The sequence below is a fragment of the Homo sapiens genome, chromosome 16 (genome assembly GCF_000001405.40).
Source record: "Homo sapiens chromosome 16, GRCh38.p14 Primary Assembly".
Lineage (NCBI taxonomy): Eukaryota > Metazoa > Chordata > Mammalia > Primates > Hominidae > Homo > Homo sapiens.
Window position 1 is genome coordinate 21,819,197 of NC_000016.10, and position 13,125 is coordinate 21,832,321.

At 47.2% G+C, this 13,125-nt stretch overlaps 3 annotated features.

Moving 5' to 3' along the window:
- Positions 473–1,278: an enhancer, noted in NCBI's record as "H3K27ac hESC enhancer chr16:21830990-21831795 (GRCh37/hg19 assembly coordinates)". NCBI's record gives its function as "activates a minimal SCP1, AML or CMV promoter by ChIP-STARR-seq in naive H9 embryonic stem cells {active_cell/tissue: H9 hESC(naive)}" and the evidence as "EXISTENCE:reporter gene assay evidence [ECO:0000049][PMID:30033119]".
- Positions 1,067–1,176: an enhancer, noted in NCBI's record as "active region_10561". NCBI's record gives its function as "activates an Ori minimal core promoter by ATAC-STARR-seq in GM12878 lymphoblastoid cells {active_cell/tissue: GM12878}" and the evidence as "EXISTENCE:reporter gene assay evidence [ECO:0000049][PMID:35858748]".
- Positions 1,279–2,083: an enhancer, noted in NCBI's record as "H3K27ac hESC enhancer chr16:21831796-21832600 (GRCh37/hg19 assembly coordinates)". NCBI's record gives its function as "activates a minimal SCP1, AML or CMV promoter by ChIP-STARR-seq in naive H9 embryonic stem cells {active_cell/tissue: H9 hESC(naive)}" and the evidence as "EXISTENCE:reporter gene assay evidence [ECO:0000049][PMID:30033119]".

Below are 13,125 nucleotides of genomic sequence, written 5' to 3' on the forward strand. Positions count from 1 at the left end.
CAGGCTGGAGTGCAGTGGTGTGATCTCAGCTTAACTGCAACCTCCATCTCCGGGTTCAAGCAATTCTCCTGCCTCAGCCTCCTGAGTAGCTGGGATTACAGGCACCTGCCACCACGCCTGGCTAATTTTTATATTTTCAGTAGAGACGAGGTTTCGCATGTTGGCCAGGCTGGTCTCGAACTCCTGACTTCAGGTGATCCGCCCACCTCGGCCTCCCAAAGTGCTGGGATTACAGGCGTGAGCAACCGCGCCCGGCCTAGATTTTTGTCTTCATTCAAGTAGAAGCTGAAATGACAGATGTCTTCCCAATGAGAAATCTCGAACACTCCTTCTCTCCCTTCTCCCTCCCCCATTACCTTGTTGTATAACTGAAATCATCGTGTTCGTTTATTTATTGGCCTGTGTACTGCCTTCCCACCCTATGCTGTAAGCTCTGTAGAAAGCAGGGACATTAGTGTCTTTGGATAAACCACTGTCCCCAGTGTTTAACACAGTAAGCAGGAGCTCGATAAATATTAGGAATCATATTACGCTAATTGTTTTACAAGGTTTGCTTCACTTACACGTAGTAAATTAATGAAAAAACATAGCATCCTAATGACTCTGAAAGTTAAACGCCAAGAGTGCTATGGGGGTTAGGGATTTTAAAAGTGGAGCAAAATAAAGACTGCGAAACAAATACGTGTGTCGAAACAAATTTCAAACAAAAAAGATGTAATATTCAATTTGCCATGAGTGACAACGTTCGGCTGATAACCCACATAGCCCAGGGAAATCCCTTCCAAATTTGGACGAAGAAGAGGGAAGGAAGAGGGGTCAAGGCGCAGAAGGCAGTACCCAGGCCTGGGAAATCACGAAGAGACACAGTCGGGAAAGTGGGCCTCCAGAACAGAGAACATACTCACTTTTCCAGGCCCCACCCATGTCTATTACCCAGTTAGGAGGAATGAGCTCATTTCTGTGAACGTGAGATGACCCTCGACCCCGTGCTCCTATCACACGCCATTAGCTTTGTCCCACATCCTTTCAATCCGCTCCTCTAAGCGCGGTCCTGAGCTTTGGTCCCAGACGCGCAGAAGGAAGCGGCCTGAATCTTACCCAGTCCTCGACGCGCCCAGCGTCTTGACTGCAGAGGACGAAGCGGCCGCATCTCCCGACAAACAACGTGTGAAGCAGCGGTGCCGCCATTGGGCCGAACTAACGCGACCGCTGCGCCTCAGGCCGGATGCCCAGCTCCTTCCAGCCACAGCCTCTGTCCCGGAAGTTGCGCGTGCCAGCGCAACCTTCAGACAATCAGGGGCCCCGTGTGGGGAGGGCGTATGCTCTCGGCGGGCTAGAGCGCCGCTAAAACGCGCTCTTCGTTCTACTTGGAGGACTTGTTCCAGCCAGCGTGAGTGCGCGAGTGTAAGGAGAGACGGGAAGGATCGGCTCCATCCAGCCCTGAGGATCCCAAAGAAAGGGTGGAAACACCCTGGATGTGCTAAGCTGTGGCCAGGTACACTCAAGTGTTAATTTTTTGGAGTCAAAGCCTCCCTCAGTCAGATCGAAGAAACTGAAGCACTTGTGACTGACCCAGATCTTCACGGAGGAAAGGGGATTCGAACCCGGCTGACCCAGGAGCCTGGGCTCTATACTCAGTGCAGCATTCTCACAGACACCCAAGATAACGTTATCCTCATGGAAACGAGCTCGACGAAGTGACCTACCCCAGAGCCTCAAGGCTGTGATGATGCTGGCATGAGAAACAACAGGAGAGTTACCAAGAGGTGTTACCCCCTTGACTTTATTTATTTATTTATTTATTTATTTATTTATTTATTTATTTTCTTTTGAGACCGAGTCTTGCCCTGTTGCCCAGGTGGAGTGCAGTGGCGTGATCTCAGCTCACTGCAACCTCCGCCTCCCCAGTTCAAGCAATTCTCTTGCCTCAGCCTCCCAAGTAGCTGGGATTACAGGCGCATGCCACCACACCCGGCTAATTTTCGTATTTTTAGTGGAGACGGGGTTGCACTGTGTTGGCCAGGCTGGTCTTGAACTCATGACCTCAGGTCATCCACCCGCCTCGGACTCCCAAAGTGCTGGGATTACAAGCGTGAGCCACCGCACCCGGCCAAACTTAAATTTTTAAAAGAGGAACAGAAGTCAGCCAGACCAACAAAAGAGCGACTGGTGTTCCAAGCATAGGAAACAGAGGAAACAGAGGCCAAAACCTCGGGACTGTGGAGGATGTAGAGGGAGAGCCGGGGCTGCCCCTACTCTCAGGGAGGGGGAAAGGTTGCAACTTTGGAAACTGTACAGGCCTATCAAAAATACAAAAATATCCAGCCTGGGTGACACGGTGAAACTCCATCTCTACAAAAAATTTAAAAAATAAAAATAATAAAAATTATCTGGGTGTGATGGCACACACCTGTAGTCCCAGCTACTCGGGAGGCTGAGGATTGCTTGAGCCTGGGAGATAGCACCACTGCACTCCTGCTTGGGCAACAGAGTGAGACCCTGTCTCGAAATAAATAAATAAATTTTTTAAAATGCATATGTATGGGCCCGGCGCAGTGGCTCATGCCTGTTATCCCAACACTTTGGGAGGCCGAGGCAAGTGGATCACCTGAGGCCAGAAGTTTGAGACCAGCCTGGCCAACATGACAAAACCCTGTCTCTACTAAAAATACAAAATTAGCCAGGCATGGTGGCAGTGCCTTACTAATCCCAGCTACTTGGGAGGCCGAGGCAGGATAATAGCTTGAACCCAGGAGGCAGAGGTTGCAATGAGCCAAGATTGTGCCATTGCACTCCAGCCTGGGTGACGAGCGAAACTGTGTCTCAAAAAAAAAAAAAAAGTGTGTGTGTGTGTGTGTGTGTGTGTGTGTGTGTGTGTGTGTATGTATCTCTCTCCAGGAGTTCAAGACCAGCCTGGGCAGCATATGGTGGTGCATACCTGTAGTCTCAGCTACTTGAAAACTGAGGAGGGAGGATCGATTGAGCCCTGGAGGTCAAGGCTGCAGTGAGCTGTGATTGCACCCCTGCACTCCAGCCTGGACAACAGAGCTAGACCCTATTTCACAAAATAAAATACAGCAATTTGGTTTTTTTGTTTTTTGTGTTTTTTTTGAGACAGTCTCGCTCCGTCACCCAGGATGGAGTACAGTGTCGTGATCTCGGCTCACTGCATCCTCCGATTCCCAGGTTCAAGCGATTCTTGTGCCTCACCCTCCCCAGTAGCTAGGATTACAGGCATGCACCACCATGCCCTGCTAATTTTTGTATTTTTAGTAGAGACAGGGTTTCACCATGTTGGCCAGGCTGGTCTCGAACTCTTGACCTCAAGTGATCCACCCACCTTGGCATCCCAAAGTGCTGGGATTACAGACATGAGCCACCACGCCCCACCAGCAGTTTGTTAAACATAAACCATAGCTCTGTTTTGCAACAGTGTAAAATCAGTAACTGTCTTTCCTGAGTCTCTATTTGGTCCTTACTGAGTTCCTTGGGAATGTTGGACAGGAATCATCTGTGTCTCAAGGACAGAGGAAATAATTGCACCCTAGTTCACAAAGATACTTCAAGATAACTGTTTAAATGAGAATCTCTTCTTCACTTCCAAGGCAAAGCGAAGCAAAAACAAAAAGCAACAATAGCAAAACAGCAATTTGACAATTATCTGTTTTGTTTTGTTTTGGTTTGAGACAGGATCTCATTGTCTAGCCCAAGTTAGAGCGCAATGGCGCGATCACAGCTCGTTGCAGCCTCGGGCTCCTACAGCTTATGCAATCCTCTCACCTCAGCCTCCCAAACCCACACCACCAAGCCCAGCTAATTTTTTGTATTTTTGGTAAATACGAGGTCTCACTTTGTTGCCCAGACTGGTCTTGAACCCCCGGCCCAAGTGATCCTCCCACCTTGGCCTCCCAAAGTGTGTCTCCCCACCTACACTCCCATTCTTTCCCTTAAAAAAAGTCTGAGTCTGGGTGCAGTGGCTCACACCTGTAATGCCAGAGCTTTGGGAGGCTGAGGCAGGAGGATACCTTGAAGCCAGGAGTTTGAGACCAGCCCAGGCAACACAGCCAGACTCCGTCTCTACAAATAACACTTTTAAAAAACTTACCCAGGATACCCAAAGGACTATAAATCATGCTGTTTTAAAGACACATGCACACATATGTTTATTGCGGCATTATTCACAATAGCAAAGACTTGGAACCAACCCAAATGTCCAACAATGATAGACTGGATTAAGAAAATGTGGCACATATATGCCATGGAATACTATGCAGCCATAAAAAATGATGAGTTCACATCCTTTGTAGGGACATGGATGAAATTGGAAATCATCATTCTCAGTAAACTATCGCAAGAACAAAAAACCAAACACTGCATATTCTCACTCATAGGTGGGAATTGAACAATGAGAACACATGGACACAGGAAGGGGAACATCACACTCTGGGGACTGTTGTGGGGTGGGGGGAGGGGGGAGGGATAGCATTCGGAGATATACCTAATGCTAGATGACGAGTTAGTGGGTGCAGCGCACCAGCATGGCACATGTATACATATGTAACTAACCTGCACATTGTGCACATGTACCCTAAATCTTAAAGTATAATAATAAATAAAAAATTAAAAAAAAAAACTTACCCAGGCATGGTGGCACATGCCTGTAGTTCCAATTATTTGGCAGACAGAGGTGGGAGAATCACTTGAACCCAGGAGTTGGAGGCTGCTGTGAGCTATGACTGCACCACGACACTCTCTGGCCTGGGTGACAAAGCAAAATCTCATCTCTTAAAAAAAAAAAAGGGAAAAAAAGCTTGACATATATAAAATAATATGTTAATGTAAGTTATAAGAACATAATGGGCTGGGCGCAGCGGCTCCCGCCTGTAATCCCAGCACTTTGGGAGGCCGAGGCAGGTGGATCACGAGGTCAGGAGATCGAGACCATCCTGGCTAACACGGTGAAACCCCGTCTCTACTAAAAATACAAAAAAAAAAAAAATTAGCCGGGTGTGGTGGCGGGCACCTGTAGTCCCAGCTACTTGGGAAGCTGAGGCAGGAGAATGGCATGAACCCAAGAGGTGGAGCTTGCAGTGAGCCGAGATCGCACCACTGCACCCCAGCCTGGGCAACAGAGTCAGACTCCGTCTCAAAAAAAAAAAAAAAAAAAAGAACATAATGAACACCTGTGAACATATCACCCAATTTAAGAAGCCGAACATTAACTAGGACAATTGACACTTACTGTGTGCTGCTCTCAGATCCCACCTTCTACCTGCTTTCCTCCCAAAAATAGTCACCATCATGATTTTTAAAAGTCATTTTAGTTTTCTTTGCATAATTACCATATTTATACTCCTAAACAATGCACTATATTTACTTTTATTTGTCTTTGCATTTTATAAAGTTATCTCCATGCTGTATTATACTGCTGTTTGTTTTCAACATTATGCTTTTTTTTTTTTTTTTTTTTGAGACGGAGTCTCCCTCTGTTGCCCAGGCTGGAGCGCAGTGGCATGATCTCTCGCCGTCCTCCCACCTCGGCCTCCCAAAATGCTGAGATTATAGGCAAGCCACCGCGACCAGCCTGAATATTCTTGTATCGTTTCCTGATGTATGTGTACAAGTGTTTTTCTAGGGTGGAACTGTTGGGTTGGAGGGGGCACAAAAAGCTTTTAGGAAAGGAGAAAGGAACAAATTGGATATCTACGATTTTTTTTTTTTTTTTTTGAGACAGAGTCTCTCTCTGTTGCCCAGGCTGGAGTACAGTGGCACAAGCTCAGCTCACTGCAACCTCTGCCTCCCGGGTTTAAGTGATTCTCCTGCCTCAGCCTCCTGAGTAGCTGGGACTACACATGCCCGCCACCACACCTGGCTAATTTTTGTATTTTTAGTAGACATGGGGTTTCTCCGTGTTGCCCAGGCTGGTCTCAAATGCCTGACATCAGGTGATCTGCCTGCCTCGACCTCCTAAAATGCTGGGATTACAGGTGTGAGCCATCGTGTCTGGCTATTAGTTTTCCTATTTAGAAATTGTTCATCTGGATCCTCCCTACCTTTCAGCCATTTGCAATACATTTGTTGAGCATAAAGAGTGACCTTCTTGGCTGGGCGTGGTGGCTCACGCCTGTAATCCCAGCACTTTTGGAGGCCAACATGGGTGGATCACCTGAGGTCGGGAGTTCGAGACCAGCCTGACCAACATGGAAAAACCCTGTCTCTACTAAAAATACAAAATTAGCCTGGCATGGTGGCACATTCCTGTAATCCCAGCTACTCGGGAGGCTGAGGCAGGAGAATCACTTGAACCTGGGAGGCAGAGGTTGCAGTGAGCCGACATCACTGCCATTGCACTCCAGCCTAGGCATCAAAACTCCCTCTCAAAGAAAAAGAGCAACTTTCTCAAAGAAAAAGAGCAACTTTCTTGTCCACAGCAAAGAATCACTGGAAGCCATTTGATGCAATATGACCTCATCTCTCTAGCCAGTGTCGATTGGGTTACAGGAGGGCACCAAGAAGCTTCGAAGGCTGTGCCAATGTACACTTCCAGCAATATCTTCTTAAGCTTGAGTGCAGCTCCTTATTTTCCCAAAGCACAGCTAAGACTAAGGCTGCCAAGTTTTTAAAAAGATTTAAAGGAAACTCTGAGCATTATACAAGAAAAATACTGGCCAGGCCCTGTGGCTCATGCCTGTAATCCCTGTACTTTGGGAGGCTGAGGCGGGTGGATCACTTGAGACCAGGAGTTCAAGACCAGCCGGGCCAACATGGTGAAACCCCATCTCTACCAAAAATACGAATTAGCCAGGTGTGGTGGCAGGTACCTGTAATCCCAGCTACTCGGGAGGCTGAGGCTGGAGAATCGCTTGGACCCGGGAGGCAGAGGTTGCAGTGAGCTGAGATCGCAACACTGCACTCCAGCCTGGGCAACAGAGCAAGACTCGGTCTCAAAAAAAAAAAAAAAAAAAGGAGAAAAAGGAAGCCTTAAAACTAAATGCATAATTTCCTGTTGTAATTCTTTGGCCATGTCCGTTCTTTGTGGAGCCTCTATTCAGTCAAATTGTCCTGTGGGCCAACTCATCTTGGCAGGATAAAAGCCTCCTTATCCAGTCTTGCCTTCCCCAGAGAAAATAAAGGGGGTGGGGGAGGGCCAAAGAAAATTAAGACCCTCCCCCTCCAAAAAGAGAAACAACAAAAAGCATGCAAGGATTAACATGCTATCTGCAAAGTCACCACCCTGCCCACAGTGTGGCCTTTCACTTCACTGAGTAATATATTGTTTGTAATACAACAATGTAATCAGCTTCTTCATTCCAGAACAAAATTTTGCTTTACTATCGTCATATACCCAGAAGACCCATTAAACTGTGTTTTCAAAAGAGCAGCCTTTCCTTAGAGATAAATTTTACAGCTACCCCTAGAGTAGTTCTGTTGGCCAAAGCCTCTTAGCTTGCTAGTGAAAGAAATGAAGTCAAGCCAGCTTAAGCAGAAAGGAGAATTTGTTCTGAGGATACAAATATATAGTAAGGTACCAAAAAAGAATTTATCATTGGCCAATTTGGATAAGGTGCCCTCCTGTAACCCTCCTGTAATCTAATCAACACTGGTAGAGAGATGAGGTGACAGTATACCAAATGGCTTTTGATGAATCTTTGCTGTGAACTAGAAGGGATTAAGTTATGCTCAACTAATGGTTTGCAAATGGCTGAATGGTAGGGAGGATCCACACGAACAATTTCTAAATAACAAAACCAATAGCATGTATCTCATTTGTCCTTTTTCCTTTCCAAAGAGTCAACAATTAATGTATGAGTCAATTATCTTTATAAAAACTACATTCATTAACACAAATGCAAGATCTCAACTATATATCTTTAGTTATATACATGTATACACATATATGTGTATGTATGCATACATTATCCTCAAAGACAACTAATTTAGAGCGTTCCTCATCCCAGTATCTCAGAGAAATACAAAGCAGTTTCTTAGACTTGGCATCATTGAGATTTTGGGCCAACCAGATACTTCTCTGTTGGGTGGGGAGGAGGCTGTTCTGTGCATTGTGGGATGTTCAGCAGCATCCCTTGCCTCTACGCAGTAGGTGACAGTAGCATTCCCCTCCTCCCCACTGTAACATTCAAAAACATCTCCAGATGTTGCCAAATGTCCCCGGGGTACAAAACTCTTCCAATTAAGAACCACTGGTATAAACAAGTCAGCTGGGAGTGGTGGCACACACCTGCGGTCCCAGCTATATGGGAGGGTGAGGCAGGAGAATTGCTTGAGCCCAGGAGTTTGAGACCAGCCTAGCCAGAATCTCTGCCTAGCCTAGGCAGACCTCTACAGAAAAATACAAGAATTAGCCATAGTGTTGGTGTGCACCTGTAGTCCCGGCTACTCAGGAGGCTGAGACGTGAGGATCAGTTGAGCCCAGGAGGTCGAGACTGCAGTGAGCTATGATCTCCCCACTGCATCCCACAACAGGGACCCTATCTCAAATAATTAATTAATTAATGGAAGAAAGAAAGAAATCCTAGCTTTGTCATTTACTCTATTACTTTGGGCAATTGCCTTATGTTTCCAGAACTTCAATTTTCTTATGTACAAAATGGGAATAACTTTTTGAGCTATTTTAGAGCTATCGTAAGGATCAGAGCACATAATCACAAACCACAAAATATGTCACAGTGTACAGGACAGGGCAGGTTCTCTGTAAATGACAGTATTTGCCCATTTATTTTTCTGTAAATATGAAATATACTAGGATACTTGATGTGGTTACAATCAGGTGGAAACTGACCTATGAGGGAGACAGACAGAAAAGCACGGTCTTTTTTGTTTGTTTGTTTGTTTGTTTGTTTTTTGAGACGGAGTCTCGCTCTTTCGCCCAGGACGGACTGCAGTGGCATGATCTCGGCTCACTGCAAGCTCCGCCTCCCGGGTTCATGCCATTCTCGTGCCTCAGCCTCCTGAGTAGCTGGGACTACAGGCGCCCGCCACCGAGCCCAGCTAAATTTTTTGTATTTTTAGTAGAGACGGGGTTTCACCATATTAGCCAGGATGGTCTCGATCTCCTCACCTCGTGATCCACCTGTCTAAGCCTCCCGAAGTGCTGGGATTACAGACGTGAGCCACTGCGCCCAGTCAACAGATAGGTACAGTCTTTATCTGTTCGTGCGGCTATAAGAAAGTACCAGAGACTGGGTTATTTATAAAAAACGGAAATTTTGGCCAGGCACAGTGGCTCACGCCTTTAATCCCAGCATGCTGGGAGGCCAGGGCAGGTGGATCGTGTGACCTTAGGAGTTCGAGATCAGCCTGGGCAACATGACGAAACCCTATCTGTACAACGCTATGAAAAAAAAAAAAAGCTGGGTGTGGTGGTGCATACCTGTAATCCCAGCTACTCGGGAGGCTGAGGTGGGAGAATCACTTGAACCCAGGAGGCAGAGGTTGCAGTGAGCCGAGATCGTGCCACTGCACTCCAGCCTAGGTGACAGAGACCCTGTCTCATACAAACAAACAAAACCCAGAAATTTCTTTCTCACAGTTCTGGAGGCTAGGAAGGCCAAGATTAAGTTACCAGCAGGTTGGTATCTGGTGAGGGCATGGTGGCCATTTCCAATACGGCACCTTGCTGCTATGTCCTCCCGGGGGGACCAGTGCTGTGTCTTCAAGTGACAGAGGGATGTAAGGGCAATGAAAGGGCCTAGCTCGTTCCCGCCAACCTTTTTATGAGGTTACTAATCCCATGCCCTCATGACTTAATGATGCCCCACCTCTTAATACTACCAGACTGGTGGTTAAGTTTTAACATATGAATCTTGGGGAACACATTCAGACCACAGCAGATATATTGTAGAAAAGAATAGTCCGTAAATTCCCCAGCAGTAACACTTCACATATTTTGCCTCTTATTACTTGGAGTATACTGTGTTTCATATGGCTTTTTAAACTTTGTAAAAACTGCAGCAAGTGCCTGATTACTTAGGGCTTCTTTATCTAGTGACAGACTATTTAGTCCATTAATTTTGTGCTGTACAACAGGAAAGAGAAAGAAAATGACTTCTGCAGAGACTGAATCATCTTTATGTCCTCTATGGTAGTTGGCACTTAGTAGATATTAAATAAAAAACAGGCTGGGCAAGATGGCTCATGCCTGTAATCCCAGTAATTTGGGAGGCTGAAGCAGGTGGATCACTTGAGCTCAGGAGTTCAAGACCAGCCTGGGCAACATGGTAAAATCCTATCTCTACAAAAACTATAAAAAGTAGCGGGATGTGGTGGCATGTGCCCATAGACCCAGCTACTTGGAAGGCTGAAGTGGGAGGATTGCTTGAGCCCGGGGGGTGGAAGTTGGACTGAGCCAAGGTCCAGCTCCAGCCTGGGCCACAGAGGGAGACCCTGTCTCAAAACAAACAAACAAACAAATCTCTTTAACTCCCAAAATGGAAAGTTCTCCAAGATATATGTTAAGTGATTAAAAAAAAAAAAAAAAGGGCCAGCCTGGCATGCTGGCTCATGCCTGTAATCCCAGCACTTTGGGAGGCCAAGGAAGGCAGATCACCTGACATCAGGAGTTCGAGACTAGCCTGACCAACATGGGGAAACCCCGTCTCTACTAAAAATACAAAATTAGCCAGGTGCGGTGGCACATGCCTGTAATCCCAGCTACTCGGGAGGCTGAGGAGGAGAATCGCTTGAACCCAGGAGGCGGAGGCTGTGGTGAACCGAGATAGCACCACTGCACTCCAGCCTAGGCAACAAGAGCGAAACTCCATCTCAAAAAAAAAAAAAAAAAAGGAAACCGCATCTCTACTAACAATACAAAAATTAGCTGGGCAAGGAGCTAAGTGATTATAGTACCAGCTACTCAAGAGGCTGATGCAGGAGAATCACTAAACCGCATCTCTACTAAAAATACAAAACTTAGCCAGGCAAGGAGCCCGGTGACTATAGTACCAGCTACTCAAGAGGCTGATGCAGGAGAAACACTTGAACCCGGGAGGCGGAGTTTGCAGTGAGTTGAGATTGCACCACTGCATTCCAACCTCGGCAACAGTGCGAGACCCTGTCTCAAAAGAAAAAAATAATATAAAGTGACCAGGTGTGGTGACTCACACCTGTTATCCCACCACTTTGGGTGGAAGCAGGAGGATCACTGGAGCCCAGGAGTTTGAAACCAGCCTAGGCAACATAGTGAGACCCTGTCTCTATATTAAACACACACACACATGCACACACACACACACACACACAAAGGCAGCCAGACTATGCACTAGGAACTGCCCTGGGAATCCCTTTGCATTCTCACAACAATCCCATTTCACAGATGAAGAAACCAAGGCACAGAAATATTAAGTAATGTGTCCAGGTGCGGTGGCTCACGCCTATAATCCCAGTACTTTGGGAGGCTGAGGCAGGCAGATCACGAGGTCAGGAGTTCGAGACCATCCTGGCCAATATGGTGAAACCCTGTCTCTACTAAAAATACAAAAATTAGCTGGATGTGGTGGCAGGTGCCTGTAATTCCAGCTACTCAGGAAGCTGAGGCAGGAGAATTGCTTGAACCCGGGAGGCGGAGGTTGCAGTGAGCCGAGATCACACCACTGCACTCCAGCCTGGGTGACAGAGCAAAACTCCGTCTGAAAAAAAAAAAAAAAGAAGAAGAAGAAATACTAAGTAACTTGTCTGAGGCCACTTAGTTACCAAGACGTGGGAGCTGGGACTTGAACCCAGGCAGTCTGCAGTCTGACTGGATTCATGCCTGCAGCCTCTGCACTCCTGCTACTTACTGTGTGAGAAGCGCCTGTTCTGTGGAAGGTTGTGGGCTGAGATCTTTCCATTAGTTCCACTCATTTACCCCCAAGGCTGTTCTTAAAGACAGGCATGACAGTTATGCCCATTTTACAGATGCGGCCCTGAGGCTCACAAGGGCACGCCACTCGCCCATTTCCACAAAGCTATAGCTCGTTAGCGGAGGGCAGAATTCGGCCGCCTCTCCCCTAGCTCGAAGGCTGTGATTGACACAGAGGTTTTTTTGTTGTTGTTGCTGTTGTTTGTTCTTTTTTCTTTTTTTTTTTTTTTTTTTTTTTTTGAGACGGAGTCTCGCTCTGTCGCCCAGGCTGGAGTGCAGTGGCGCGATCTCGGCTCACTGCAAGCTCCGCCTCCCAGGTTCACGCCATTCTCCTGCCTCAGCCTCCCGAGTAGCTGGGACTACAGGCGCCCGCCACCACGCCCGGCTAATTTTTTGTATTTTTAGTAGAGACGGGGTTTCACCGTGTTAGCCAGGATGGTCTCGATCTCCTGACCTCGTGATCCGCCCGCCTCGGCCTCCCAAAGTGCTGGGATTACAGGCGTGAGCCACCGCGCCCGGCCCTTTTTTTTTTTTTGAGACAGGGTCTTGCTCTGTCATCCCGGCTGGAGTGCAGTGGTGCGATCTCAGCTCACTGCAAACTCTGCCTCCAAGATGCAAATGATTCTCGTGCCTCAGCCTCCCAAGTAGCTGGAATTACAGGTGTGCACTACCACGCCCAGCTGTTTTTTGTAGAGATGGGGTTAGTAGAGATTTGTTTAATAGAGATGGGGTTTCACCATGGTCTCTACTAAACCCTGTCTCTACTAAAAATACAAAAATTACCCAGACGTGGTGGCACATGCCTGTAGTCCCAGCTACTCAAGAGGCTGAGGCAGGAGAATCACTTGAACCTGGGAGGTGGAGGTTGCAGTGACCCAAAATCATGCACTCTAGCCTGGGGTCTCGCTTTTGCCCAGGTTAGAGTGCAGTGGCACAATCACAGTGGCTCACTGCAGCCTCAAACTCCTGGGCTGAAGGGAATCCTCCCACCTCAGCCTCCCAAGTAGTTAGGACTATAGGCATGTGCCATCCTGGCGAGTTAATTTTTTGTGTGTTTTTATTCTCTCGAGACAGAGTCTTGCTCTGTTGCTCAGGCTGGACTGCAATGGCGTGATCTTGGCTCACCGCAACCTCCACCTCCGGGGTTCAAGCAATTCTCCTACCTCAGCCTCCCGAGTAGCTGGGATTACAGGTGCGTGCCACCATGCCTGGCTAATTTTGTATGTTTAGTAGAGACAGGGTTTCGCCGTGTTGGTCAGGCTGCTCTC